This window comes from Homo sapiens, chromosome 8, assembly GCF_000001405.40.
Source record: "Homo sapiens chromosome 8, GRCh38.p14 Primary Assembly".
NCBI classification, from domain to species: Eukaryota; Metazoa; Chordata; class Mammalia; order Primates; family Hominidae; genus Homo; species Homo sapiens.
Window position 1 is genome coordinate 125,350,743 of NC_000008.11, and position 27,925 is coordinate 125,378,667.

The 27,925-nt window shown below is 45.2% G+C and overlaps 1 protein-coding gene across 14 annotated transcripts in view, besides 1 other annotated feature; it reads left to right on the forward strand.

Moving 5' to 3' along the window:
* Positions 1-16,378, forward strand: part of NSMCE2 (NSE2 SUMO ligase component of SMC5/6 complex) — a 275,261-nt gene extending 258,883 nt beyond the window's left edge. For 12 of the 14 annotated variants that reach the window (NR_146191.2, XM_017013331.2, XM_047421702.1 and 9 more), the window contains 3 exons: positions 6,477-6,577; positions 6,970-7,076; positions 16,026-16,378. Coding sequence is in view for 13 of the 14 variants with exons in the window: in XM_017013331.2 (XP_016868820.1) it covers positions 6,477-6,577; positions 6,970-7,076; positions 16,026-16,143 (326 nt within the window). In the remaining variant the exon portion in view is untranslated. Of the gene's footprint in view, positions 1-6,476; positions 6,578-6,969; positions 7,077-11,314; positions 12,813-16,025 lie in introns of those variants that run through there. The other 2 variants (XM_047421704.1, XM_017013332.3) reach the window with 2 other exon arrangements.
* Positions 26,355-26,921: an enhancer, noted in NCBI's record as "H3K4me1 hESC enhancer chr8:126389339-126389905 (GRCh37/hg19 assembly coordinates)". NCBI's record gives its function as "activates a minimal SCP1, AML or CMV promoter by ChIP-STARR-seq in primed H9 embryonic stem cells {active_cell/tissue: H9 hESC(primed)}" and the evidence as "EXISTENCE:reporter gene assay evidence [ECO:0000049][PMID:30033119]".

Consider the following 27,925-nt stretch of genomic DNA (forward strand, 5'->3'; position numbering starts at 1 on the left):
CCCATGATTCAGTTGCCTCTCATTGGGTCCTTCCCACAATATGTGGGAATTCAAGATGAGATTTGGGTGGGGACACAGCCAAACCATATTAGGTTGTCAGGGACAGAGTCACATGGGGCTGTCTAGGCCACTGCAAGAGGCAGACATGGGAGGTTGTGGCCCTTCGTGAGGGACACTAGTTAGGAAGCAACTGCAGAGGGCTGAGCAGGCGGCAGTAGTGGTTTGGACCAAGGCATGAAGTAGAGAATGAGAGAAGGGGCTGGATATGGAATATGGTGTAGAACCAGAGTCAGCAGAACCTACTAGTGGATTGGATGTGAGGAATGAAGAAAAGGGAATAACCAAGAATGATTCCAAAGGCTTTGGCTTTGAGCAACTCGGTGGATGCTGACTGAGAAGAGGAGAACCAAAGGCAGAGCTGCTTGGCTCTTCCCTGAGTCATAACTGACAAGCCACAAAAATTGGGAACTTACATCTTGGGGTCCAATCAATGCCCTCATGACACCTCCCATCCAATTTTACATTGCTGGACTGTATTTGTAGACCTTTGGAAATACTACTTCAAACATATCCAGGGTTTCTCCTTCCTTTTGGTGTACATTTTGTGACATAAAAAAAAAAAAACATATTCGAGTTACCTAACTCTACCTTGCTCCATCCCTCATGGGTGCGCTGTAAATGTTAGTTCTTGTGCAGGCTTCCTGCTTCAGCACAGTTCTGGGGCACCCTGGGCAGGGGCATCTGGAGGTCAAGTAGAGGTCTGAGATCAGTCCATTGGTCACAAGTTGGACAGCCGGCATATGCTTCTAACAACATCGTCTATGTATATAGAAAATAATATGACTAGTTTGCTTGTTTTTCTACTTATAGTTAGGAAAATTTTGTAACCTCTTTACTAAAGATTAAACTGATTTAATCCAATTGTTGCTTTATTATAAAGCAAATGTAGATATTTTCTACATTTGCCTTAAAAATATTGTGGGGTTGGCCGGGCATGGTGGCTCACACCTGTAATCTCAGCACTTTGGGAGGCCAAGACAGGCAGATCACTTGAGGTCAGGAGTTCGATACCAGCCTGGCCAACATGGTGAAACCCCCATCTCTACTAAAAATACACAAAATTAACCAGGCATGATGGTGGGTGCCTGTAATCCCAGCTACTTGGGAGACTGAGGCACGAGAATCATTTGAACCCAGGAGGCAGAGGTTGCAGTGAGCAGAGATTGTGCTGCTGCAACTCTAGCCTGGGCAACAGAGCAAGACTCCATTTCAAAAATATATATACATAGTGGGGCTTAAATTTTCTTGCTACACAATAGGAATAACAATATAGTTATTCTTCATGGGTATTTTGTTAGGAGTAAATGAAATAATGTATATGACGTGCTTAGCACTGTAGCTGCTATATAACATTCAGTAAATTTGAGGTATTATTATCAATGAAATAACAATTTGGGGCTGGGCGTGGTGGCTCACGCCTGTAATCCCAGCACTTTGGGAGGCCGAGGTGGGCAGATCACCTGAGGTCAGTTCGCGACCAGCCTGACCAACATGGAGAAACCCCGTCTCTACTAAAAATACAAAATTAGCCGAGGTGGTGGTGCATGCCTGTAATCCCAGCTACTCGGGAGGCTGAGGCAGGAGAATCGCTTGAACCCGGGAGGCGGAGGTTGCAGTGAGCCGAGATCACGCCATTGCACTCTAGCCTGGGCGACAAGAGTGAAAATCCATCTCAAAAAAAAAAAAAAAAAATTTGGGAGCAGAGGAGCTCCCAGAACCAACACACAGATTTTAATATTCAAATGAACCAGTCAGAGAAAATAGAACAACACATTGATTTATTAAATTCCTGCATCACTTTGGACAAAACCTACACTTTCTTTGTATCTCAATTGTCTCAGGTAAATGTGAGACTCAGGATAGATAGATAACCTCAACTTTAAAACTTCTGTGATTCTAGTAGATGATCAATATTTTCTCTCCCATCTTCCTTTTACCAGACTTATCACAAAGTTTTGTCTTTGGGTCATCTAAATCAGTATAAGTGATATTTATTGCCAGATGTGACCTTTTGTTAGCACACTGGAGAATCCCAACGCTAATGTCAATTTCTATAAATATAGATTGAGAGTGAGGAAATGTTCTGTCTCTAGGGAAGTTTAGCTATTGAGAGTCTTTCTCTTTTTAGACTCTTGGTCTGTGGTCTCTTACTCACTCGTGACATTCTTCCCCAGTCTCACTTTTGTTACCTTTTTATTTCGTGATCACTGATGCTGGTAGCCACCTACAATTTTGAAGTTCCCCACTCAGCCTTCCCTAGTGGTAGGCATTGCATTTGAGTTGTGCTTTCTTACTTCCTCTACCTTTTGAAATTTAAAAATAGGAAATAGCAAACAAACCCACAGTCTTTCACATCAGCTGAACTCTGTTATTCATCCAGCAGATTTTCTGGTGAATTCTCTGGCACAACGTATACAGTCAGAAACCAGCATCAGTTCAGAATAAATGGTGTACAAAATTAAGAAAGAGCTACTTTTATTTTTACTCTTAAACACACGATCAGAAATGGGAGGCAGCAGCATAGGAGGAGGCTTTGAAAAGTAAATCCAAGGGAAAGACGGCTCCTAGCCTTCTCCTTGGCTTTTCTCCTTACCTGTCCAACTTTCCCGAGCCATGATGAAGAGTCAGTGGATTGATAAAGGGACTCTCTTAGGAGTCTAACTCTTGCACTATGAATACCAAAGACAGGCCCTGAGAAGCATGAAAACCCATCATAGCCATGAGCAATATAATTTCCAGAGACCCCACCCCACAGCAAACATACTATAATATGGTACCTGCCCTATTAAATATCGTTTTAGGACGGGTGCAGTGGCTCACGCCTGTAATCCCAGCACTTTGGGAGGCTGAGGCAGGCGGATCACAAGGTCAGGAGTTCGAGACCAGCGTGGCCAACATGGCGAAACCACGTCTCCACTAAAAATACAAAAATTAGCTGGGCCTGGTGGTGGACGCCTGTAGTCCCAGCTATTTGGGAGGCTGAGGCAGGAGAATTGCTTGAACCCGGGAGGCAGAGGTTGCAATGAGCCAAGATCGTGCCATTGCACTCCAGCCTGGGCGACAAGGGCAAGACTCCGTCTCAAAAACTAAAAAATAAAAAATATATATATATATAATTTTATTGCTGTCAATTTGTTGTTTTTTTTTGAGACGGAGTCTTGCTCTGTCACTCAGGCTGGAGTGCAATGGCATGATCTCTGCTCACTGCAATCTCCACCTCCCAGGTTCAAGCAATTCTCCTGCCTCAGCTTCCTGAGTAGCTCAGGTTATAGGCGCCCACCACCACGCCCAGCTAATTTTTGTATTTTTAGTAGAGAAGGGGTTTCACCATGTTGGTTAGGCTGGTCTCGAACTCCTGACCTCAGGTGATCTGCCCACCTCAGCCTCCCAAAGTGCTGGGATTACAGGCGTGAGCCACCGCACCCAACCTTGCTGTCAAAATTTTGAAAAAATATTTGTATAATTTTGCTTTGGAAATAGGTTGGCTACCAGTAACTGATTTAATTTGTAATTGACTATTAGTTTCAGCAATTATCTTACCATACTGGGAAATTTTTATGAAGTTTATGAAGAAATAAATCCAGCCCTACATATTACTTCCAAATTATGTATTTTCGATTACCGGATCAACAATTAATGAAGTTAACTTCACATTTGCATAGACCTTTAACATTTAGTAATTTCAGTACTATTGTTATTCTGTTTTGAAGCCAACCAATGGTTTTTAAGGTCTCAGACGTTTGTTTAGCTCTCTGAAAAGCTGGAAGCCCCGAGGCACTGCACCTTAATGCCCAGTGGTTAAAAATGCTCTGACTGGTTATTCCCAAGCCCTGAGATCTTCACTGCCTTCTTCAAAGAATAAAAGCTGGTTTAGGGGACAGCAAGCTGGCATACAAATATACCAGTCTACTCCAAGAAGGTGACTCTCTAAGAAAAACAAAGTAATTGGAGGCAGAATCCCTGTGTTGCAATTAATTCACCAGGTTACCTTGAACAAGAGCTCTGCAGCCCTTTCCCTGCCCCTCAGTACAGCTTGAGCATCCCTAATCCCAAAATCCAAAACCCACAATGCTCCAAAATCCAAAACTTTTTGAGCACCTACATGACGCCACAAGCAGAAAATTCCACATCTGGCCTCATGCAACAAGTACACATGAGTGTTAAAAATGCTGCATAAAATTAGCTTCAGGCTATGTGTGTAAGCTTTATATGAAACATAAATGAAATTCATGTTTAGTCTTGGGTCCCATCCCCCAAGATATTTCATCATGCTTATGCAAATATTTCAAAGTCCGAAATCCGAAACACTTCTGGTCCCAAGCATTTCGGATAAGGGATACTCAACCTGTAGTGCCTTTGCAAACAAACACCTCATCTGGCCTAGGTGATGGCCCACAGTCATCAGTTCTATGGAACCGAAAGGTATGCCACACCATCTGAACCAGAAACAAGGGCTTCCTCTCACACATTGAGGAAAGCCATTTTTATGTCTGTATTATTTTGCCAAAATTAAAGAAGGAAGGGAAGGGAGAAAAGAGTAGAGAAGGGAAAGGGAAAGGAGAAGGAAGGAGAAAGGACTACACCATCAACATGTTTAGAAAGCTACTGATCTTTTGGCTGGGCCCCGTGGCTCATGCCTGTAATCCCAGCACTCTGGGAGGCCAAGGCGGGCAGATCACCTGAGGTCAGGAGTTCAAGACCAGCCTGGCCAATATGGTGAAACCCCATCTCTACTAAAAATACAAAAATTAGCCAGGCATGGTGTCGTGCACCTATACTCCCAGCTACTCAGGAGGCTGAGGCAGGAGAATCACTTGAACCTGGGAGGCGGAGGTTGCAGTGAGCCAAGATCGCGCCATTGCACTCCAGCCTGGGTGACAGAGCGAGACTCCATCTCAAAAAAAAAAAAAAAAAAAAAAAGCTATTGATCTTTAACTTCTGTGCAAAATTACAAGTATCTTTTCTTCAGAGAGAATGGCTTTCATGTGAGATACTCCCATCATCCCATTCAAATGTTGTCTATCATCTGTTTTTGGTTTGGTTTGGTTTTTCAGTTGGGGGCCAATGGGATGTAACTCAAAGAACATCAGTTTCAGAAGCAGCTCATGCTCTGTTCAAAGCCAGTCCTGTCACTATCACTCAGCAGTTCTCAAAGTGCAGGCCAGGGATCTCTAGGGTGCTCCAAGGGTCTTTCAGAGTGTCCATAAGGTCAAAACTGTCTTTATAATAATAGTATGATCTCATCTGCCTGTTTCACTCTCATTCTTTTCATGAGTGAATTTTCCCAGAGACTACAGGATATGTGATATTGTGACAGATTGAATGCATACGCAGATATCCAAATCCAACTGGCTGCTATGAAGCCAGACATTCAAGATATTTATAAAAATGGAAAACAATGCCATTCTTCTCATTATGTATGTCTGTGTGTATGGGGGGGGGTGTTCTGGAAATATAATTTTAACTTTTAAAATGTTTATGGTAACACGTAGTGGGATTATTACTGTTACTTTTAATTTTTTGGTTTTTTTTTTTTTTTTTTTTTGAGACAGAGTCTCGCTCTGTCACCAGACTGGAGTGAAATGGCAGGATCTTGGCCCACTGCAACCTCCAACTTCTGGGTTCAAGCGATTCTCCTGCCCTAGCCTCCCAAATAGCTGGGACTACAGGCACATGCCACCATGCCCAGCTAATTTTTGTAGTTTTGGTAGAGATGGGGTTTCACCATGTTGGCCAGGATGGTCTCGATCTCTTGACCTCGTGATCCGCCCACCTCAGCCTCCCAAAGTGCTGGGATTAAAGGCGTGAGCCACCGCAACCGGCCTTATTGTTATTTTTTAATGAATTTTAAATTCCTTAATCTTAATGTCTAATATGTTAAATATTGATAAATATAACCCACATAGAAAAAGCTTAAAAGAGTTCATACCTATAACTAAAAAGTTTGAGAAGCCCTGCACTACCTAATTGTAATGACTGTTTATTGATTATTGCTTTGTACCATGAGCTGTGCAAAGCATACCACATTCTTCATCTCTTTTAATCTTTGCCACAAGGCTGTAAAGCAGAGGCTTTAAAAAAGGGCACCTTGCTAGCCCAGCGTCTCACCACTGGACAAGAAAGAGATCACCAGGTCGGTTCTCTGACTCTGAAGCCACACCCTTGGTCACTTTCTCTATAACTTTAAAAAAGATTCTTTTTAACTGCTCTGAGCCTCAGTTTCCTTATCAAAAATAGTCAGAATGAGGTACCCCGTAGTGTTCTCTGAAAAGCAGAAGAGTTTCTATGCATCCAGTCCTTACATGGGGGCCAACAGCAAATGCTCCCCCAGAAACTCTTCACCTCCCTTCCTTCCATTCCTTCCTTTTCTTTGACGTTAGACCAGAGAGGCTTATCAACTCTCCATTTTCCTCTAGGTGGTCTTCAAGCTGACAGAGAAGCTGACGGAACAGAAGGAGTGGATGAAGATATAATTGTGACCCAAAGTCAGACCAACTTCACCTGCCCCATTACAAAGGTACCGCTTCCTCCTACTTCCCCTGAAAGAAACACGATTCACTTCACAGAGGCAGAAAGGTTCCTGTTTGCTTTCTGGTTTGATTTCACTTAGGGAGTTAAGGAGGGAGTAAAGAAAAGTGCTGGGGGTTGAAGAGTATCCACGGGAGGTTCTTGGGCTGGAGAGAGCTGTCAGTCAATCATGCCCTGAAGGATCCGGGACTAAAGTCATGGCCTACAGGCCAAGTGACAGTACTGCCACTGGATTCCCTGCATTTCCTTATCTAAAGCCTAGTAATTATGTAAAGCCATGAGAATGGGAAGTTAAACATAGAAAGCTCAGGACTAGGACGAAACAGCTACTGGAAGTTGATCATTATCATTCCTGAAAGCCCAACATCTCCTTGATTACAGGAGGAAATGAAGAAGCCAGTGAAAAATAAAGTGTGTGGCCACACCTATGAAGAGGACGCCATTGTTCGCATGATTGAGTCCAGGCAAAAGCGGAAGAAAAAGGCCTAGTGAGTGGACGCAGGGAAGGAAGTGGAGCCTTCCCTAGTGGTAGTTACTCAGAGGTGGCGTGTTCACGCTAGAGGAAGAGGCACTTCAATGTCTCTTCTAAATTCCGTTCACCTCCCGAATACTGTAAACATGGAAGTGGGCTTTCTGGAAAAACAATACATGAGGGAAAAATTAGTAATCTGTTCAGGAAGAAGCTGAGGGAACTTCAACCACACCTTCAAAACAGAATAAGGCCAGGCAGGGTGGCTCATGCCTGTAATCCTAGCACTTTGGGAAGCCGAGGTGGGCAGATCACCTGAGGTCAGGAGTTCAAGACCAGCCTGGCCAACATGGTGAAACCCCATCTCTACTAAAAATACAAAAATTAGCCAGGCTTGGTGGCAGGTGCCTGTAATCCCAGCTACTCGGGAGGCTGAGGCAGGATAATCTCTTGAACCCAGGAGGCAGAGGTTGCAGTGAGCCGAGATTGTGCCACTGCATTCCAACCTGGGCAACAGAGCTAGACTCTGTCTCAAAAAAAAAAAAAGGTTTAGGTAAATTCATGGCTAACTCATGAATGATAAATTATTTTTTTAATTGGAAGTTTTGCAGAATCTTTATAAATAGACATAATATATATTATATGTTATATATTGTTTTATATGTATATCATATATTATTTATCTTTAAATATATATAATATACACACACACACATATATATATCTCACCTTCCTTCCCCTTCTTCCATGACCACGGAGGACCATGCTCTGTTCCTGTAATAACATAGAATCCTGAGTTAGCCAGACTGACTGGCATTGACTTCGTTTGGCATTTCTTGTGCTCTTATCATGGATTTGTTGCAGGAATGGAATTGCAGGTGTGACTAGTTCTCAATTGACTTCTGATAACAGTCCCTTTGATGTGTGGCTTGCTTCTCCATTGCCCAGAAATTTGCTGGTCCAGACCTAGAATTGGAATTCCCCAGCACTCCTCATCTGGGTGTGGACTTAGAGATAATATATTGGAGACTAAAGATATCTTGATGGTCATTCAGGCAAATAACTTATCCTATGTATTCTAGAAGAATAGTGGCTTTGCTGCCTAATGGTTGCAAAATGTAGACATTCTTAGTACATTTTGATCTGTTTTGAGTTTTTGAGTTAACAGTTGAAATGTCAGATTTCGGCCAGGCGCGGTGGCTCACACCTGTAATTCCAGCACTTTGGGAGGCCGAGGCGGGTGGATCACGAGGTCAGGAGATAGAGACCATCCTGGCTAACACGGTGAAACCCCGACTCTACTAAAAATAAAAAAAAATTAGCCGGGCGTGGTGGCAGGCGCCTACAGTCCCAGCTACTGGGGTGGCTGAGGCAGGAGAATGGCATGAACCCGGGAGGCGGAGCTTGCAGTGAGCCGAGATCATGCCACTGCACCCAGCCTGGGTCACAGAGTGATACTCTGTCTCCAAAAAAAAAAAAAAAAGAGGGAGGATTCTGGGTTGTTAAATGGCATGCTTTCTTGCTCTTTCTCTTTTTTTTTTTTTTTTTTTTGAGACTGAGTTTCCCTCTTTTTGCCCAGGCTGGAGTGCAATGGCGTGATCTCAGCTTACCACAACCTCCGTCTCCCAGGTTCAAGTGATTCTCCTGCCTCAGCCTCCTGAATAGCTGGTATTACAGGCATGCACCACCACGCCCAGCTAATTTTGTATTTTTAGTAGAGATGGGGTTTCTCCATGTTGGCCAGGCTGGTCTCAAACTCCCGAGCTCAGGTGATCTGCCCGCTTCGGCCTCCCAAAGTGTTGGGATTACAGGCATGAGCCATCGCGCCCAGCCATGGCATGCTTTCATTAGTTTCCTTATCCATAAATGAATGACAATCGTTGTAATCACCTCATTGGCATATTTGAAATTTAAATAAGATACATGCAAAGTACTTAAAGTAGCTGGTACACAGTAGGGCTCAGTAAAATTATCCCATCATCATCTTCAAACTTGAGCCACTATCAACATCCTCTTCGTTTTTTTCCACCATTGCTCTATAGGCATGGGAGACGAGGACAGTTTTAAAGGAGTAAGATGAGCCAACCTGGAGTTTAGGAAGTTACTCCAATAGCAATGCAGAGATGGATTAAGGAGGCATGAGGCAAAAAAAAGTCAGTTAGGATGCTTTTACAGTGGTTTAAGTTATAGAAAATTAGAGTATAGAGATACAAGAGTGATTGTGGAGGTACAGTTAACGACATTTGACGACTGACTGAATGTAAGAGAAAGGAAGAAGCAGCGAGGGGTGGCTGACATTTCTCATCTGGGTGTCTAATACTGTCATTTGCTCATTAGCCTCCAGAGAAGGCATGAGAGAGGAACACTCTTATTGGAGGATTGTGATAGACTCAGCTCAGGTCATCCTAAATGCAAGGTCCCAGCAATACAGCCCCGTGGAAGTGTCCAGGAAGTGCAGCAAGTGTGAGTTTTGCAGTCAGGGGAGGACTCAGAACTATCGATGTGGATTGGGAGGTTATCAGTATAGACGAGTCAACCCGCTCAACTACCGTCACAGATGCAGCTCTGGAACAAATGCATTCACCAGCAGAGAGCCAGCAAGGCAGGACCCGCACCTCGCCTGTGATCTCCACAAGGCCAGAGCCCGACTTCGTTCTGCTCACTGTGATGCCTTAGCACCCTGGTGCCAACCCTCAAAAAACACTTTGTTGACCAATGAGAGGATCAATCAGCGGAAGAAGACCCCTAAAAAAGCAGTCTAAAATATAGCCAGGAGCCAGGAAGAGTGATAAGGAGTGGAGGCTCATGGGAACTTGTGGGCGGGGTGGGCAGGGTTCTGAAGGCCAGGTGCATTTGGGCAGCAGTAGATTAGAACTCAGGGCCTTCTTGAAACCAACTCCAGAAGTTTCTGATGAAGCATGAAGTCGTATCATTTCCCATGATGCACATTAGAGTGATGAGTATTTCTGGGTTCGCTTTGTTTAGAAATGTCCATGACACATTGTCTCATTTCTTCCTCCTAGATTGTTCTAGTTATGTTTGTTTTTTTAGACTGGAGTTCCAGGTCCATTGTGTTCTGGGCACTGCCTGAATTTTACTGTGCAAGCTTCAGGCCCTGGGAAGGCCTCTCTGCACTGGCTTGAGTCAGAATAATATTGTTGAGACTTTAGCCCCAGCCAAGCACGGTAGTTAGAATAATTTCCTAAAATATATCTGTTAACAATAAGCCTATTTATTCTCTTAAAAATAAAGCTGCCTTATGATTTCCTTTTTTTTTTTTTCGTTTCTTTTTTCTTTTCCTTTTTTTTTTGAGACAGAGTCTCACTCTGTCTCCCAGGCTGGAGTACAACCTCTGCCTCCCAGGTTCAAGCAATTCTCGTGCCTCAGCCTCCCAAGTAGCTGTGATTACAGGCACATGCCATCACACCTGGCTAATTTTTGTATTTTTAGTAGAGACAGGGTTTCACCATGTTGTCCAGGCTGGTCTCGAACTCCTGGCCTCAAGTGATCTGCCCACCTTGGCCTCCCAACCTTATGATTTTCATATATTAATATTTCTAACCTGACCACAGTCACTTTTTTGCTTTTTTGTTTGAGAACAGGAAACATATTTTTAAAAGTCATATTTAAGAGCATGTAGAATAAAATGAAATTGAATAGAAATGGGTCATTCGACAGCAGAACTCCAGCTTTGTGCTTGGAATTCCTGTTTCAACACTTACCAACAAGCCATTCAACCTTTCTGCCTCAGTTTCCTCATCTGTAAAGTGGAAATAACATCAGCATCTCACAGCACTTCAGGGGCCAAAGAAATGGTAGGGAATTCCATTCTAGGTCTGGACCAGCACATTTCTTGGCAGAAGAGTAGCAAAAGCACTTAGTTGAAAGCTCTTTTGGGAGCGAAGAGCGCTAAACAAATAGCTGTAGGGTTGTTAAGACCGAGGCTGATAGAGTTGTTATCACTCCCCGTGCTGCTTAGTGACACATTATTTGACTCAGGGGTTGTAAGATAGAATTACTGTCTGTGTTGAGGTATGACAGGAATCCCTCCCACTCAGATTTCCAGAGGTCTCTATAGACCTTCTGTCTATAGCTTGTAGACTAAACCTTGGAATTCTTGGGACCCAGATCCAGGAACTCCCAGAATCATGTACTTTTGAGCATTTGCAGAGGCCAAGGTTCCCCACAGCTCTGTGGGACCCCAAGACCCGGTTCCCTTTGCTCAGCAGTCACCTTTGTGTTTGCCCTGTGCTGCAGCGAAATGCTCTGCCCGGGTAGTGCCTGGAGGTGGGGACCCAGCCGCTCCTGCGAGGCCTGAAGGGCTGACTCCTGCACAGCGATGATGCGGCAGCTGAAGATCGGGTATTGCCACACTGAACTCGCTCACCAAGATGTCGTGGGATTAATGCCGAATGCTTACGGAGACAGTTGTTTCTCCAGAGGAGGCATGCCTTGATTCAGCACTGTGGCATGATGGCCTTCTCTTATCCTTTCTGCTTTAAAAACTTGTGTTTATTGGAGACGAAGGAGAAACAAGGTCCTTCCCAGTTCCAGCATCAACCTCGCCTCCAGGAAGTCTTCCCTGAGCCCTTATTCATGCTGGACAAAATGTCGTTAGCACCCCATGTCATGCCAACATTGTCAGTGCAGCTGGCTCCTCTCCACGAGCTTCTTGAGAGCGGAAGCTGTGGACTAGGGCAGGGACTGGTGCACGGCAGGACCTGAAGTGAACTCCCCAGTCCTTGACACACATCAGCCTGCTTATTTCTCAGCCTTATTGGACAGGCTTGTCCTCTGCCTTCATGTTCTTAAAGGGAAAAACTGAGGCACAGAGAATTTAGTCACTTACCCAGAGTGACACAGCCAGGGGGTTTAAGCCCAGGTCTTTCTCATTCTTGAGCCTGCAATTCTGTCAGTAGGCCATCCAGCTCCCCTTGGGAGGGCTATTTGGTTCATGCCTCTACCATCAGAGTCTATCTCCTCAGTGAACTCAGACCTTGTTTGACATGGCTCACTCTGGGATCCATCCCACTGAAGTGAAGGTGGGCGCCTGCTCTGCAGCTGAGTGTGTGGTTAAGTCCATCAGACATTCTCAGCATGCTCTCATGCACTGACTAAAACCATGATGTCATCAGGAAGTCCTCCCCACCTCACTCTCCACTTCCCTCTCCACTGCTTATTCACTGTCTGGCTATGAAAGTTAAGGCCTTTGCTGGGTAGAATGGAAGAGACCAAGGCCAGGCAGTCCAAAGCAGATATTCAGGGTTATGTTTTAAGGGAGGGTCATCCCAGCAACCTACTTGGAGTTGCATTTCAATGTCATGGAAGCCAAAGTTATGATACTTGGCTTTTCTAGTCACAAAAGTGTCTGTATCCTCTTCATGATCTTAGCTGCTTTTTTTCATACTTACAGACATAATTCACCAGGCACGGTGGCTCATGCCTGTAATCCCAGCACTTTGGGAGGCCAAGGCAGGTGGATCACTTGAGCTCAGGAGTTCAGGACCAGCCTGGGAAACATGGTGAAACTCTGTCTCTACCAAAAATTTTTTAAAAATTAGCCAGGCGTGATATTGTGCACCTGTGGGCCCAGCTACTCAGGAGGCTGAGGTGGGAGGATTGCTTGAGCCTCAGAGGCAGAGGTCACAGTAAGCAGAGATAGTGCCACTCCAGTCTGGGTGACAGAATGAGACCCTGTCAAAAAAAGAAAGAGGAAAGAGGAGAGAAAGAAAGAAAGAAAGAAAGAGAGAGAGAGAGAGAGAGGGAGGGAGGGGGAGGAGGGAGGGAGGGAAGGAAGGAGAAAGGAGGAGGGGGAGGGAAGGAAAGAAGGAAGGAAGAAGAGAGGAGGAGGAAGGAGAAGAGAGGAGGGCGGGGAGGGAGGGAAGGAAGGAAGGCAGGAAGGAAGGAAGAAAGGAAGGAGAATTCGCTTTGAGACTTCACAGCGTAGGGGGACAGGCTGGGAAAAAAATACAGATTTTTAAACTAGTGTAAAACATTTCTCCAGCCTTGCCCTAATGCAAAGCCAAATCATCAAAATGATGCATACCTGGGCCAAATCACCCTGATCCTCTTTCATATAATTGCCTTTCTGTAATTATGATTTAACACATCATGTACCTGAGTATGTAGGGCACTTTTTTTTTGTTTGTTTTGTTTTGTTTTGAGACAGAGTCTTGCTCTGTTGCCCAGGCTGGAGTGCAATGGTGCAATCTTGGCTCACCGCAACCCCCACCTCCTGGATTCAAGTGATTTTCCTGCCTCAGCCTCACGAGTAGCTGGGATTACAGGCATGCGCCACCACGCCTGGCTAATTTTTGTATTTTTAGTAAAGATAGGGTTTCGCCATGTTGGCCAGGCTGGTCTCAAACTCCTGACCTCATGTGATCCACCTGCCTCGGCCTCCCAAAGTGCTGAAATTACAGGTGTGAGCCACCGTGCCTGGCCATATTTTAATATTTTAAAAATAAATACTGTTATTAAGCATATTATATTTCATTGATTAATACCCCTCTAATGTAAAAACTCCTTGATCCACAGATCAGGGCCAAGAAATACTTTCTTTCATGTTGGACTGTTGGGCTTCCTACCACTAGACAAATTGGAGCTCCCATGACCAACTTTCTTTCCTTCTGGTTTGCATCTTTACTGTGGTTTGCACATTTGTTGTTTTTGGTCTTAATATCCTGTGCTTTATGGAGAGCTGTCTCAGATCACTGGGCCAGAGCTCTGTGTGGGCAGGAACCATGTATTTGTATTTCACAGTTGCATGCTTAGAACCTAGCATAGGGCTGATCCCTAGAAGAGTCAATTAATGCATGAATGGGTGCATGCCTGTGTGGGATATATGCAAGATAGAAATAGATCCAGAACTTTAAAACTTCTTGGAAGAATGATGATGAGGGAACACATGATAGTCACAGGGGATCTGGAAGGGAATTAACATTATTGAGCACAGAGGATCTGGGAGGGAATTAACAGTATTGACTGTCACCTTGGGAAATAAGGGTTCTCTCCCCATTTTAACTCAGAGGCAAGGGAGGCTCAAGAGGGTTATTGTGAATTGCCTGTGGTCTCATAACTAGCAAGTAGGTGGTAGAGAGAAAATTCAGACCTAGGTTAGCTTGACTCCAAACATTGGGCCTCTAATCTACCAAAATTTGGTTCACTTTGAGAACCAGATTCTTTGAGAAGAAATAGGTGGTTTCATCCAGCCCACTGCCCTCAGAGAAGACCACATCGAAGCAGAGCCGTGGCTTGTTTCCACCCCTTTGTGGGTGACTCACTGATGTCTTTAGCTGCAGCCTTTCCACCGAGTCCCAGTGGCCCACTCAGTCTCTCTTCTAGGAGGGCTACTGGGCATCCATTCCAGAGGAAACAGATACCAACCAGGACTGTGGTTCTGTGCTGCAGCCTGTTTTGCCCCATCGTTTCCCACTGTGATGAAGGGCACTACCAGTCACTGATCTACCCAGATGAAGCTCGCTTCTTCCCTTTCGCTTATGCTCCACAGCCACTCCATCGGCAAGTCCTATAGGTTCTATGGTCAAGCATGTCCTGAAGCTGATCGCCATACCACCCTCAGCCGAGCTGCCCTCACCTCTCTCCTGCACCCTGCAGGATCCCCCATGCTATTTTCCCTGCCCTTCTCTTACCTCCCTGTTTTGTATTCTCCATAAGCAGCCAGAGTAACATTTTCCAGATGTAAACCAAACACACTCCTCACCCATCTCAAAACCTTCCAGTGTTTTGTCTTCATATTTAAAATAAAATCCAAGTCCAGGCACGGTGGCTCATGCCTGTAATCCCAGCACTTTGGGAGGCCGAGGCAGGTGGATCACTTGAGGTCAGGAGTTCGAGACCAGCCTGGCCAACATGGTGAAACCCCATCTCTACTAAAAATACACAAAATTAGCCAGGCATGGTGGCAGGCGCCTGTAATCCCAGCTACTCAGGAGGCTGATGCAGGAGAATTGCTTGAACCCAGGAGGCGGAAGTTGCAGTGAGCTGAGATCACGCCACTGCACCCCAGCCTGGGTGAAAGAGTGAGACTCCATCTCAAAATAAATAAATTAATTAAATTAAATAAACTCCAAAGCCCCATTGGCGCACTGACCTCACTTCCAACTGCTCTCCCTCTTGCCTGGGTCGCTGCAGCCACATAGAGCTTGCTGTCACTCCAGGGCACCAAGCTGGAACGTCCTCAGCACTGCACTTGCTACTGCCTCAGCCCAGACCACATGCAGACTTGTTCCCACGCTTCATTCTGGGTCCTGCCCTAGATAAGATGTGTTCGGTGAGGCATGCCCTGAGTCCAGCCAGTGAAGCTGTGGCCCCAGCACTCTCTCTCCCTGACCCTGCTTTGTTGCCCTCATAGCCCATAAGGTGACCTGAACTTGCAGCAAGCATTTATTTGGTTCCCTAGTGGTTGCCTGTCTTCCTCATTAGAAAGATAGCTCATAGGCTGGGCGCGGTGGCTCACGCCGGTAATCCCAGCACTTTGGGAGGCCGAGGCGGGCGGATCACGAGGTCAGGAGATCGAGACCATCCTGGCTAACACGGTGAAACCCTGACTCTATTAAAAATACCAAAAATTAGCCGGGCGTGGTGGTGGGTGCCTGTAGTCCCAGCTACTCGGGAGGCTGAGGCAGGAGAATGGTGTGAACCCGGGAGGCGGAGCTTGCAGTGAGCCAGGATCGTGCCACTGCACTCCAGACTCCGTCTCAGAAAAAAAAAAGAAAGTTAGCTCATGATAAGGCAGGCACTACTCACATATCGCTTGTGTCCCCAGCACCCAGACAGGGCCTGGCTCAGGTAGGGACTCAGTGAATAAATGAATGAGCACAGCTTGGTCCTGATTTTGACACTTTTCCTTTTTCAGTAAAATGCCTTACTTAAACACTTGAGTATAAAAGAAGTTTCTGCTTAAGGCAGTAAAGGGGACTGACTTGATGTTCTTTCTTTCTCACAGTTGCCCTCAAATTGGCTGTAGCCACACGGATATAAGAAAGTCAGATCTTATCCAGGATGAAGCACTTAGAAGGGCAATTGAGAACCATAACAAGAAAAGACATCGTCATTCCGAGTAGGAAAAGCCACCTGCCTGCAGGGACACCAGCAGCCTACCTCCTACCCCAGCTGTCTGTTGAGAGCAGTGCTGACCCCAGCAGTTAGGGACTGGCTGCATAGCATACTTGTTGGGGGTAAAACTTGTTGCTTTTATGTGTGCTTGAAAACATTTTTCAAAGTTACACAACAGAAATGCAATCATATTGTTTATTTTTAAGTGTTCTATAATGTTAAATAAAACTTTGATCATCTGCAGTGTCCTCCCTGCATGCCTCCTGATGTATGGATTGTTCCAGAGGTGCAGGCTTTTCCATTTCAAGGACATCAGACTGATTTTTATAATAGTTTTGACTAAAGAATGTCTTTCAGCCAGGTGCAGTGGCTCATGCCTGTAATCCCAGCACTTTGGGAAGCCGACGTGGGCAGATCACTTGAGGTCAGGAGTTCAAGACCAGCCGGGGCAACATGGTGAAACTCCGTCTCTACCAAAAATCCAGAAATTATCCAGGTGTGGTGGTGCGCACCTGTAATCCTAGCTACTCGGGAGGCTGAGGCAGGAGAATCACTTGAACCCAGGAGGCAGAGGTTGCAGTGAGCCGAGATCGCACCACTGCACTCCAGCCTGGGCGACAGAGCAAGCCTCTAAAAAAAAAAAAAAAAAAAAAAAAAAAAAAAAAAAAAAGAATGTCTTTCAAGTGATATTTGAAATTGAAACATATAAAAACACCCCTATTGGGAGGCATTTTCTATGAGTATAGTAAATAATAGCATTTGGTTATAAAGCAAAGTCAGTTTACTTTCTTGTATTTACATTGTATATTGACAGTTCCAAACATATAAATGCTTTTATTGTCATTCTGAATGGAATAGAATGCTCCAGTGACTGGCTAATCAGTGCATTGCAGTGATGATTGATGCCTATAATGAATACTTTGCTGCAGCCCTCCAAGAGCCTAAAGTACCATCAACAGTAACCACATTCCAGCTGCTCTCTGTTTTTCTAGATGGTTCACTGCAAGTGACTTCATCCCTCTGGATGTTGGTGTCTTCAGCCATAAAGTGAAGGTGTTCAACAAGATGCTCTCTAATGTCTCTAATCAACAAGATGCTCCCTAATGTCCTGTGACCCCTGAGAGTCTATGGACTGACACCAGCAGGGTCTTTAAATTGAATGTCTTCAATTATATTCTAATTGTGTGATGAGCACCAATCTATTGTCTCCATTAGCAACCTTTTATCAACCTTACTATTTAATTAAACCAAATTTGAAGCATACCCTGATGGCACTGGAAAACCAAGAATAGCTAATAATAGCTAACATTTATTGAGTACTTATTTACTGTATACCAGGTGCTATTCTAAGTGCTTTACATTATATTAACTCCTATAATCTTCATAGCCCAGTGAGAGAAGGACAGTTCTTACAGATAAGGAAAAGTAGGCACAGAGAAGCGAAGTCACCCATGGAAAGTCAGAGATGGAACTAGGAAATGGCTGAGCTGGGACCAGAATCTGGAGAGCCCAGTCCTAAAATCTCCATTCTTAACTCCATACTCTCCTCCTCCCTATTGACATAATTTAGAAAATGAAAATATATTCGAAGCCCACATTTAGAACCAAAGCTTTTGTAAATAAGTGTGTGTGTGTGTGTGTGTGTGTGTGTGTGTGTGTGTGTGTGTGTACAAAAAGTCTAATTAAAATGGAGGCCTATGCAGGAGGATCACTCGAGCCCAGGAGTTTGAGACCAGCCTGGGCAAGATGGCAAGACCTCATCTCTATTAAAAAAGAAATAAGGCCGGGCACAGTGGTTCACACCTGTAATTTCAGCACTTTGGGAGGCCAAGGTGGGTGGATCATCTGAGGTCAAGAGTTCAAGACCAATTTGGCCAACATGGCAAAACCTCATCTCTACTAAAAATACAAAATTGGCCGGGCACAGTGGCTCAAGCCTGTAATCTCAGCACTTTGGGAGGCCGAGGTGGGCAGATCACGAGGTCAGGAGTTCAAGACCAGCCTTGCCAACATGGTGAAACCCTGTCTCTACTAAAAATGCAAAAATTAGCCTTGGTGTGAGCCTGTAATCCCAGCTACTCAGGAAGCTGACATATGAAAATTGCTTGAACCTGGGAGGCAGAGGTTGCAGTGAGCCAAGATCATGCCACTGCACTCCAGCCTGGGCAATAGAGCTCTGTCTCAAAAAAAAAAAGACCCACCCCCATAATTCAGTCACCTCCCACTGGGTTCCCCCAATGACGTCTGAGAATTTTAGGAGTTACAATTCATGATAAGATTTGGGTGGGGACACAGCCAAACCATATCATTCCACCTGGCCCCTCCCAAATTTCATGTCCTCACATTTCAAAACCAATTATGCCTTCTCAACAGTCCCCCAAAGTCTTAACTGATTTCAGCATTAACTCAAAAGCCCACAGTCCAAAGTCTCATCTGATACAAGGGAAGTCCCTTCTGCTTATGAGTCTGTGAAATCAAAAGTAAGCTAGTTACTTCCTAGATACAATGAGGGTACGGGTATTGGATAAATACAGCCATTCCAAATGGGAGAAATTGCCCAAAACAAAGGGGCTACAGGGCCTATGCAAGTCTGAAATCCAGTGGGGCAGTCAAATCTTAAAGGTCCAAAATGACCTCCTTTGACTCCAGGTCAAACAGGTGCAAGTAGTCTCCCATGGCCTTGGGCAGCTCCACCCCTGTGGGTTTGCAGGGTGTAGCACCTCTTCTGGCTGCTTTCATGGGCTGGCATTGAGTGTCTGCAGCTTTTCCAGGCACATGGTGCCACCATTCTGGGGGTTGAAGGATGGTGGCCCTCTTCTCACAGCTCCACTAGGCAGTGCCCCAGTAGGGACTGTGTGGGGGCTCTGACCCCACATTTTCCTTCCATACTGTCCTAGCAGAGGTTCTCCATGAGGGCCCCACCCCTGCAGCAAACTTCTGCCTGGGCATCCAGGCATTTCCATACATCCTCTGAAATCTAGGCGGAGGTTCCCAAGCCACAATTCTTGACTTCCGTGCACATGCAGGCTCAACATCATGTGGAAGCTGCCGAGGCTCGGGGCTTCCACCCTCTGAAGTAGCAGCCCAGCTGGGACACGGCACCAAGTCCCTAGACTGCACACAGCAGAGGGACCCTGGACCCAGCCCATGAAACCATTTTTTTCCTTCAAAACCTCTGGGCCTGTGATGGGAGGGGCTGCCCCAAAGGTCTCTGACATGCCCTGGGGACATTTTCCCCATTGTCTTGGTGATTAACATTTGGCTCCTTGTTACTTATGCAAATTTCTGCAGCTGGCTTGAATTTGTCCTCAGAAAACAGGATTCTCTTTTCTATTCCATTGTCAGGCTGCAAATTTTCCAAACTTTTATGCTCTGTTTCCCTTTTAAAACTGAATGCCTTTAACAGCACCCAAGTCACCTTTGCTTTGCTGCTTAGAAATTTCTTCTGCCAGATACCCTAAGTCATCTGTCTTGTTCAAAGTTCCACAAATCTCTAGGGCAGGGGCAAAATGCTGCCAGTCTCTTTGCTAAAACATAACAAGAGTCACCTTTGCGCCAATTCCCAAAAAGTTCCTAATCTCCATCTGAGACCACCTCAGCCTGGATTTCATTGTCCATATCATTATCAGCATTTTGGTCAAAGCCATTCAACAAGTCTCTAGGGAGTTCCAAAATTTCCTACATTTTCCTGTCTTCTGAGCCCTTCAAACTGTTCCAACCTCTGCCTGTTACCCAGTGCCAAAGTCACTTCCACATTTTCAGGTATCCTTTCAGCAGTGCCCCATTCTACTGGTACCAATTTACTGTGTTAGTTCATTTTTATGCTGCTGATAAAGACATACCCAAGACTGGGCAATTTACAAAGGAAAGAGGTTTTATGGACTTAACAGTTCCAGATGACTGGAGAGGCCTCATAATCACAGCAGAAGGCAAGGAGGGACAAGTCACGTCTTACATGGATGATGGCAGGCAAAAAGAGAGCTTGTGCAGGGAAAATCCCGTTTTTAAAACCATCAGATCTCGTGAGATTCATTCATTATCATGAGAACAGTGCAAGAAAGACCTGCCCCCATAATTCAATCACCTCCGACCTGGTTCCTCCCACAACACGTGGGAATTGTGACAGTTACAATCAAAGATGAGATTTGGGTGAGGACAAAGCCAAACCATATCACTAGCCAACATGGTGAAACCCTGTCTCTACCAAAAATACAAAAAATTAGCTGGGTGTTGTGGCGTACACCTGTAATCCCAGCTACTCATGAAGCTGAGAGACAAAATTTGCTTAAACCCAGGAGGCAGAGGTTGCAGTGAACCAAGATCGTGCTACTACTGCACTCCAGCCTGGGTAACCCAGGAGGCAGAGGTTGCAGTGAGCCAAGATCACACTACTGCTGCACTCCAGCCTGGGCAACAGAGTGAGACTGTCTCAAAATAAATAAAAGAAAGATAAATAAATTTTTTTAGATGCAGGAAATAACTGAATTTGACATCTACTGGGCAGTAAAATCCACTAAATAATAACATATTTGAGTTTAAAAGCATAGTCTAACATGGTTGAATTAATTTTGAAAGCACTTTTATGGAATTCAGAAAGTAGTATGAAATTCAGTTGTCTACAAACTAAATGCTTTTGAATTTCCTAAGATGCTTTATCTGAATCAGACTTTACGGAGGAAATGATTGTATTTAAGCCAGAACAAACATACTTTTCATGGAATGTGGTTCTTTTGTGAAATACTTTGCTTACTAAACAGATAGGAGTAAGCATAAAATGCATCCCAAGATTGGATTTGCATTTTTCCCAACTCTAAAGAGAATTCTGGAATATTTGTATAGGTACCAATACCAGTTAGAAAAATGCAAAATAACAGTATTTCACTTTTGAAAAGGTATGGTATTTATATCTTCTGAAATCTTCCCCTTCTTTAGCCTTCAGAAACTGTTTCATAAATTTGTCTAGCCATTCAAAGAGTTTGATGTTTTACACAAAACTGATTTTCATCTTTTGAAGGTCTGTCATTTGATTGTTAGTATCAATCTGGCATATTATTAGCTTGTTTTTTCTTTTTCTTTTTTCTTTCTTTTTTTTTTTTTTTTTTGTGAGACGGTGTCTTGCTCTGTCACCCAGGTTGGAATGCAGTGGCGCAATCTCAGCTCACTGCAACCTCCGCCTCCCAGGTTCAAGCAATTCTCCTGCCTCAGCCTTCTGAGTAGCTGGGATTACAGGTGTAAATCACCACATCTGGCCCAATCTGGCATATTTATTAAGTTTCTGTTATAGGAGTTTTTTTTTTAATGGAAGCTTTTCTTCCATTAAAATTATATTCATCTTCTTTAGTAACCCAATATAAAAGACAGTTTAAAGGGGAGCAGTTCTAGTCAAAGAGGAGGTGGGAGTTGCAGCTCTCCTTTTCCCAGGACAATCCCAGAGTACTATCTGAGATTACCCCAAGGCCACATGAGTGGCACTCGAAAACTGCACTAGACATTGTAGCGAAATAGTTTTTCAGATATGACTGATTTAAGATTAGGACAATTGTGTGGACATGGCATTGTTTTAAAATGCTAATTATTTTAAGAAACTCAACTAGCACATTTAAAACATTACCACACGGCCGTGCAGGGTGGCTCACACCTGTAAACCCAGCACTTTGGGAGGCCGAGTCAGGCAGATCATCTGAGGTCAGGAGTTCGAGACCAGCCTGGCCAACATGGCGAAACCCTGTCTCTACTAAAAATACAAAAAAATTAGCCAGGCATGGTGATATGTGCCTGTAATTCCAGCTACTTGGGAGGCTGAGGCAGGAGAATTGCTTGAACCTGGGAGACGGAGGTTGCAGTAAGCTGAGATCACGCCACTGCACTCCAGCCTGGGCGACAGAGCGGGACTCGGCCTCAAAATAAACAAATTAATTAATTAATTTTTAAAAAGTTACCACAAACTCCAAAAGATAATTTCTGTCTCACCTTATATAAAACTTCAAACATGGAGTGTCCAGCTTGAAGCAGTGTCTGAGGGGAGTACTGCTTTTAGCTGGATACACCCCGACGGAGGTTTTATGCAAGGACAGAGATAAATTACAGGACTGAGAGGAACCAAGGCTGGTGTGAACTGACTGCTTGCCATGTACCAGGCTCAGGTCTAAGTCCCTTAAAAGTATCCCCTAAGCTAAGTCTCCTGAACCCTCGTTATTACCCCCATTTTACAGATGAGGAAACTGTGGTTCAGAGTCAAGTCATTTGCCCAGGGTCACACACTTGTGCGCAGTCAGTCCTGTCTTGGAATGGAACAGTGAGTGAGCAGAAGCACTCTGCCCTGCTGGTGGGCTCTTTGCCCCAGGGCCATGGAGGGCACATACAGGGTCAGCAGACCTGCACTTCTATCCCAACCTCCTTATTGCTGTTACTGAGACCAATTTCCCAGGTTCGCAGACTCCAGTTATCCACGAATTTAGCATAGCTGGGTGATCCTCCCCTCCCTTGTTCTCTCTGCCAACACCACCAAATCCAGGGCCTCCCTCCTTACTTCACACCAAGACTATTCACCGGCCTCCCAGCTGGCCTCCTGACTCAAATCTTGCCCCTCTCATATTAACCTACTAGAATACTGATTGGGTAATTTCACATCCTACCCAAAAGCCTTCCTTTCCTACAGAATGATGTCCTGTTCTGGCATTCAGGATTTTACCACGTAGCAGCCCCCTTCCTCTCTGCAACACTTCCCTCTTTTCCCTCCATTCCAGCACCCCCTCTCTTTCCAGCAAAGTTTCTTCCAGGAAGCGAACTAACCCTCTGTGTCCCTGACTAGCACATAAAGGTGATATTGTCACTTCCCTACCCCAGGCCTCAGATTTCCCACATAAACTAAAAGACTTGGATGGCTCCCTAAAGTTTCTTTAAAAGCTATAAGATTCCAGCCGGGTGAGGTGACTGACTCCTGTAATCCCAGCACTTTGGGAGGCCAGGGCAGGAGGATCACCTGAGGTCAGGATTTCAAGACCAGCCTGCCCAACATGGTGAAACCCCATCTCTACAAAAATACAAAAATTATCCGAGCATGATGGCGGGTGCCTGTAATCCCAGCTACAGGCTGAGGCAGGAGAATTGCTTGAACCCAGGAGGCAGAGGTTGCAATGAGCCGAGATCACGCCACTGCCTTCCAGCCTGGGCGACAGAGTGACACACCGTCTCAAAAAAAAAAAAAAAAAAAGGAAGTAAGATTCCATGTCATATTGTCAATGACTAGGTCCTATGGGAAGTAGAAGGCCCTTTGGAAGGACAGCAGATTGACGTGGAAATTAGTACAAACACACACACACACATACCCTGTCTATTTTAGAGACAGGGTCTTGCTCTGCTCTGCCACCAAGGCTGGAGTACAGTGGCACATTCATAGCTCACTGTAACCAACTGCTGGGCTCAAGTGATCCTCTCGCCTCTCAAGTAGCTGGCACCACAGACACAGGCCATCATGCCCAGCTAATTTTTTTTTTTTTATTTGTAGGGATGGGTTCTCGATGTGTTGCCCAGGCTGGTCTCAAACTCGTGGGCTCAAGCAATCCTTCCACTTCAGCCTCCCAAAGAGCTGGGATTACAGGCATGAGTCACAGTGCCTAGCCACAAATTAGTATATAATTGACCAAAATGTGTATATTGAATCATGATGGCAGGTGCCTGTAATCCCAGCTACTCAGGAGGCTGAGGCAGGAGAATTGCTTGAACCTGGGAGGTGGAAGTTGCAGTGAGCTGAGATCACACTACTGCACTCCACCCTGAGCGACGGAGTGAGATTCCATCTCAAAAAATAATAAAATTTAAAAAAATAAAAATAAAGGCCAGGCACAGTGGCTCACGCCTGTAATCCCAGCACTTTGGGAGGCCAAGTTGGGCAGGTCATGAGGTCAGGAGATCAAGACCATCCTGGCTAACACAGTGAAACCCCGTCTCTACTAAAAATACAAAAAATTAGCCAGGCATGGTGGTGGGCGCCTGTAGTCCCAGCTACTGGGGAGGCTGAGGCAGGAGAATGGCATGAACCGGGAGGTGGAGCTTGCGGTGAGCCGAGATCGCGCCACTGCACTCCAGCCTGGGCGACACAGCAAGACTCTGTCTCAAAAAAATAAATAAATACATAAATAAATAAAAATTAAAAGTCTGGAACCCTTTGATTGGGAGACAGGGTGGGGTGACTCATGTGAGTAGATTACCCAGCTGTATGAAGATTATTATGTTTTGGAAATCTGCCTTCTACCTGTGTCAGATTTGTGGAGCGGGGATGATGATTCTGAAAAGAAGGCAGGTAAAACTGAAGGAAACAGGAACGCTTTTACATTGCTGGTGGAAATGCAAGTTGATGCAGCCACTTTGAAAAAACTGTTTGGCTTTTTAAAAAAATGTTAACGCACTGCCGGGCGCAGTGGCTCACACCTGTAATCCCAGCACTTTGGGAGGCCAAGGACGGCAGATCACAAGTTCAGGAGATCGAGACCATCCTGGCTAACATGGTGAAACCCCGTCTCTACTAAAAATACAAAAATTAGCCAGGAATGATGGCACATGCCTGTAATCCCAGCTATTTGGGAGGCTGAGGCAGGAGAATCGCTTGAACCCGGGAGGCAGAGGTTGCAGTGAGCCAAGATCGCGCCACTGCACTCCAGCCTGGGCAACAGGGGGAGACTCTGTCTCAAAAAAATAATAATAATAATAAATAAATAAATAAATAGTTCATAACAGCATGATTTACAATAGCAAAAAAAAAAACTGGAAACAATACAAATATTCAGTTGGTGAATGGGTAAACAAAATGTTATAAATCCATACAATGGAATACTACTTGGCAATACGAAGGAATGAAGTCCTTTTTAAAAAACCATTGGCTGGGCGCGGTGGCTCATGCCTGTAATCCCAGCACTTTGGGAGGCCGAGGTGGGCGGATCACCTGAGGTCAGGAATTGGAGACCAGCCTCAAAATGGAGAAACCCCGTCTCTACTAAAAACACAAAATTAGCTGGGTGTGGTGGTGCATGCCTGTAATCCCAGCTACTCGGGAGGCTGAGGCAGGAGAATTGCTTGAACCTGGGAGGCGGAGGTTGCGGTGAGCCGAGATCACACCATTGCACTCCAGCCTGGGCAACAAGAGCGAAACTCCATCTCAAAAAAAAAAATAAAAAACCATATGTGTCGAGGTCGGAGCTCGAGACCAGCTGAGGCAGGCGGATCACCTGAAGTCAGGAGTTCAAGACCAGCCTGGCCAACATGGTAAAACCCTGTCTCTAATAAAAATACAAAATTTAGCCGGGTGTGGTGGCAGCCATCTGTAATCCCAGCTACTCAGGAGGCTGAGGCAGAATTGCTTGAACCCAGAGGCAGAGGTTGTAGTGAGCCGAGATCATGCCACTGCACTCCAGCCTGGGTGACAGAGCAAGACTCTGTCTGAAAAAAAAAAAAAAGTGTGTGTGTGTGTGTGTGTGTGTGTGTGTGTGTAGTGTGTGTATCATGTGTTGAGAGTAAGATCTACTCTCTTAGTAAATTTCAAGTGTACAATGCTTTATGATTAACTGTGGTCACCATGCTATACGTTAGATCAGCTGATAACTGCAAGTTTGTACCCTTTGACCCACATCTTTGCATTTCCCTACCCCAGACCCCTGGTAACCTCCCTCCTACTCTGTTTCTGTGAGTAGGAGTGAAGCACATATGGATGTGGAAAACATGCTCAGTGAAAGAAGCCAGTCATAGAGATCACATAGGCTATGAATCCTCTCACACTCAATGTTCAGAAAGATTCAAATCTAGAGGGACAGAAAGATTAGTGGTGGCCTGGTCTGGGGGTGACAACTGAGAGGGAATGCACGAGGGACCCTCTGGGGGTAAGGGAAATTGGATTGTAGTGGAGGTTGCACAACTCTAAATTTACCAAAACTCATTGAATCCAGTACTTTTTTTTTTTTTTTTTTTTTTTTTTTTTTGAGTCAGGGTCTTGCTCTGTCACTCAGGCTGGAGTGCAGTGGTGTGATTTCGGCTCACTGCAGCCTCAACCTTCCAGGCTCAAACAATTTTCCCACCTCAGCCTCCCCAGTAGCTGGGACTGCCAGCGTGTGCCACCACACCCAGCTAATTTTTTTGTTGTTTGTTCATGGAGACGGGGTTGTGTTGAGTTGCCCAGGCTGATATTGAACTCCTAGGCTCAAGGGATCCACCCTCCCTCAGTTTCCCAAAGTGGTGGGATTACAGGCGTGAGCCACCGCACCCAGCCCAGCCTGGAGAGCAGTGGTGTGATCTCGGCTCACTGCAACCTCCGCCTCCCAGGTTCAAGCGATTCTCCTGCCTCAGCCTCCTGAGTAGCTGGGATTACAGGCACATGCCACCACGCCCAGCTAATTTTCTGTGTTTTTAGTAGAGACGGGGTTTCAACACATTAGTCAGTCTGGTCTCAAACTCCTGACCTCTTATCTGCCCACCTCGGCCTCCCAAAGTGCTGGGATTACAGGTGTGAGCCACTGCGCCTGGCAGATTTCTTTCTTTTTAATGAACAAATGCAGAATTGGTTTTAAAACAAAAAGCAAGATACGATTATGAAAGGAAGCAACTCAAGGATCATCTTTTGTCACAAACACCACAGTGCTGTTAAGAAACGAGTCCGCATGCTGCTGGAATGTATGGAAAAGGCTGCCGTGCAGTCAGGAAGACAGGCCATGAGGCTCTGCGTGAGGCCCAGAGGTGAGTTTTTAAGCTATTCATGGTGACCACAGTTCACAAAGAATGTGAAGACACTGATTCGTCCAGAGAACAGCATAAACAAGGCTATTTAGGGATGGTAAAACTTGGATGCTATACTGAAAAGAACTGGGATGTTTTTGCCCACAGAGAAAAAAACTCAGGCTTGTTTTATAGAAAATATGGGACTCTGGCCAGGCGCAGTGGCTCAAGCCTGCAATCCCAGCACTTTGGGAGGCCTAGGCAGCCGGATCACTTGAAGTCAGGAGATCCAGACCAGCCTGGCCAACTTGGTGAAACTCTGTCTCTGCTAAAAAATACAAAAAATAGCTGGGTGTGGTGGTGCACACCTGTAATCCCAGCTACTTGGGAGGCTCAGGCAGGAGAATTACTTGAACCCAGGAGGCGAAGGTTGCAGTGACCCAAGATCATGCCACTGCAGTCCAGCCTGGGTGACAGAGTGAGACTCTGTCTCAAAAAAAAAGAAAATATGCGACTGTGTCAGGAATATGCCACAAGACAATTAACAATATGTGCCATTAAAAGGCCAATTAAACAGTCTTTGAGACTTAGAAGAAGAAAAACTTAGCATAAAGGGTCTCATGGAGGGAACCCTTGGTCAACTCCCAAGGGACTGTGGATAAAATTCAGGAAGTTTATAAATTGATGTGGGGAGCAAATTGCTTCTTTACTAACCTGTAATTGGAATTTAGCGTCTCCCACAATTCTGAATATAGGCAATGAACTCCAATAGAATTAGCAGTACCTGTGACTTTATCACTAACAAAAGTGATAAATAGGCAGGGTGTGGTGGCTCATGCCTGTAATCCCAGCACTTTGGGAGGCCAAGGAGGGAGGGCGGATCACGAGGTCAGGAGTTCGAGACCAGCCTGGCCAATATGGTGAAACCCCATCTCTACTAAAAATATAAAAATTAGCCAGGCATGGTGATGCACGCCTGTAATCCCAGCTACTCAGGAGGCTGAGGCAGAAGAATCCCTTGAATGCAGGAGGCAGAGGTTGCAGTGAGCCGAGATCACACCACTGCACTCCAGCCTGAGTGACAGAGCA